Source organism: Homo sapiens, chromosome 9 (assembly GCF_000001405.40).
Source record: "Homo sapiens chromosome 9, GRCh38.p14 Primary Assembly".
Lineage (NCBI taxonomy): Eukaryota > Metazoa > Chordata > Mammalia > Primates > Hominidae > Homo > Homo sapiens.
This window is the reverse complement of record NC_000009.12, coordinates 90,264,284-90,266,367: the sequence shown is the minus strand read 5'-3', so window position 1 is coordinate 90,266,367 and position 2,084 is coordinate 90,264,284.

Genomic DNA, 2,084 nt, shown 5'->3' with positions numbered 1-2,084 from the left:
GGAAGGAAGGAAAGGATGGAGGGAGGGGAGGAGGAGGGAGGGGAGAAGGGACGGAATGAGGGAAGGAAGGAAAGAAGGAAGGAAGGAGAGGAGGGAGGACCCAGTGAACTTACCTCCAAGTCGTTCCTCAGGTCCCAATGTCCTTAGCTGGTCTGCTGTCTTTTCTCCACCTTTCAGAGTCTTCTTAAGTTGATTAAAATACCCAGGTTATTTATTTGCACTTAGTAGGAGCATGAGGGAAAAGTACATCTACCTCATCTTCCTGTGTAGTTAAATTTTATTGTTTAAATGGGATGTATATGATTTAGCTCAAAGACAGAGACTGAAATAAAACTTGCTTAAGATAGGCAAAGATGTACAGAAAGAACTGCAAATAATTTATCCAAATTAACAGGCAATCATAATGCATATTAAAATCTATGATAACTTTCTCTGGTCTGAGTCACTTTTCTCCTTGAATGTGCTTGATGTTTCCTACTCTAATGAATTTGACAACTGTAAATCCCTAACTGGATATGATATACACTGTTGAAAAATCACACAATGAAAACCTGATCACAATTGTGTTTTAAATGGAATGCAATTAGCTTCACCACTAATATGTTTTGGTTTGTTTAGAAAAGGACATTTACAAACAGAAATATGAACTTGAAAGCAAACCTGTCTTGAAATCAAGAATTGTGTTCATTTAAAAGCTATGGTTTATGTGTTCAGAGGCGAGTTTTATTACAAGCCAAGAATGGAGAATGTGGCATGAGGAACATTTCCACCACACAGGAAGAGGGGACACAAAGGGTACAATTGCATGGGGGATATTTGGAGGGTTATCAGGGTAAGGATGGAAACTGGGTCCCTGAAAAGGGATCACAGACTCAGTCATCCTCCAGATTTTATTGAAAGCAGGGGTGGTGAAAAGCAAAAGCTCTGATAGAAACCTCAGAGAGATTAAAAAAGAACCCAAGAATCCTGGCCAAAGGATTGTGCTTCATTGCTATATCTAGCCTGGAGCAGGAATAAGACAGTAAATAAGGGAAAAGCTAGTTCCTGTTGTCATGAAACTCATGTTCTAGTGAGGAGCAAATCCACAAATGACTAATAATAGATGTAAAACATTTTAAGACACATGATAACATACACTACTGAAAAAAATAAATTATAATGATTAGAAGGTAATGAGGAGTGTGGCAGGGGGAACAGGTCAAATTTGAGCAAAAGACCTGACAAAAGTGTATAAATAAGCTAAGTGAAGACCCACAGGAAGTACAGCAATTGTAAAGGTGATGTGGTAGGAACATTCTTAGACATTGGAGGAATAGCAAAAAGACCAAGGTAATGGGTGCAGTATAAGTGATGGGAAGAAGAACAGGAGATGGGGCTGGAAAGATTAGCAGGGGTAAGTCACATCGGGCTGAGTGGATCGCAGTGAGAAGGCTGATGATTTTTGTTTCACTATAATGGGAAATAATTGCAAGGTTTTGGGGGGAGGAAGTGGATAATCATATTTGCTCTTTTGAAAGGCCACTCTTTCAAGAATATAGAGTGAATCAAAAGGTGTAAGGAGGGCCAGGCGTGGTGGCTCACGCCTGTAATCCCAGCACTTTGGGAGGCCGAGGTGGGTGGATCACGAGGTCAGGAGATCGAGACCATCCTGGCTAACATGGTAAAACTCCGTCTCTACTAAAAAATACAAAAAATTAGCCGGGCATGGTGGCAGGCGCCTGTAGTCCCAGCTACTCGGGAGGCTGAGGCGGGAGAATGGCGTGAACCCGGGAGGCGGAGCTTGCAGTGAGCCAAGATCACATCACTGCATTCCAGCCTGGGTGACAGAGCAAGACTCCATCTCAAAAAAAAAAAAAAAAAAATATGGTGTAAGAAGTGCCCTTTGGAGACTATTTCCAAGCCCAAGTGAGACAAAATGTAGGCTGGTTAGGGTGAGAACAGTAAAGTTGGTGAATGGTAGTTGGGTTTGAGACATATTTTGAAAGTGGAGCTACTAAGACTTGCTGTTGGATTGGATGAGTGTGAGCCTGGATAGCCAAGTGAAAATGATGCCATTAACCAAGATATAAAGAAATGGGGTGTGG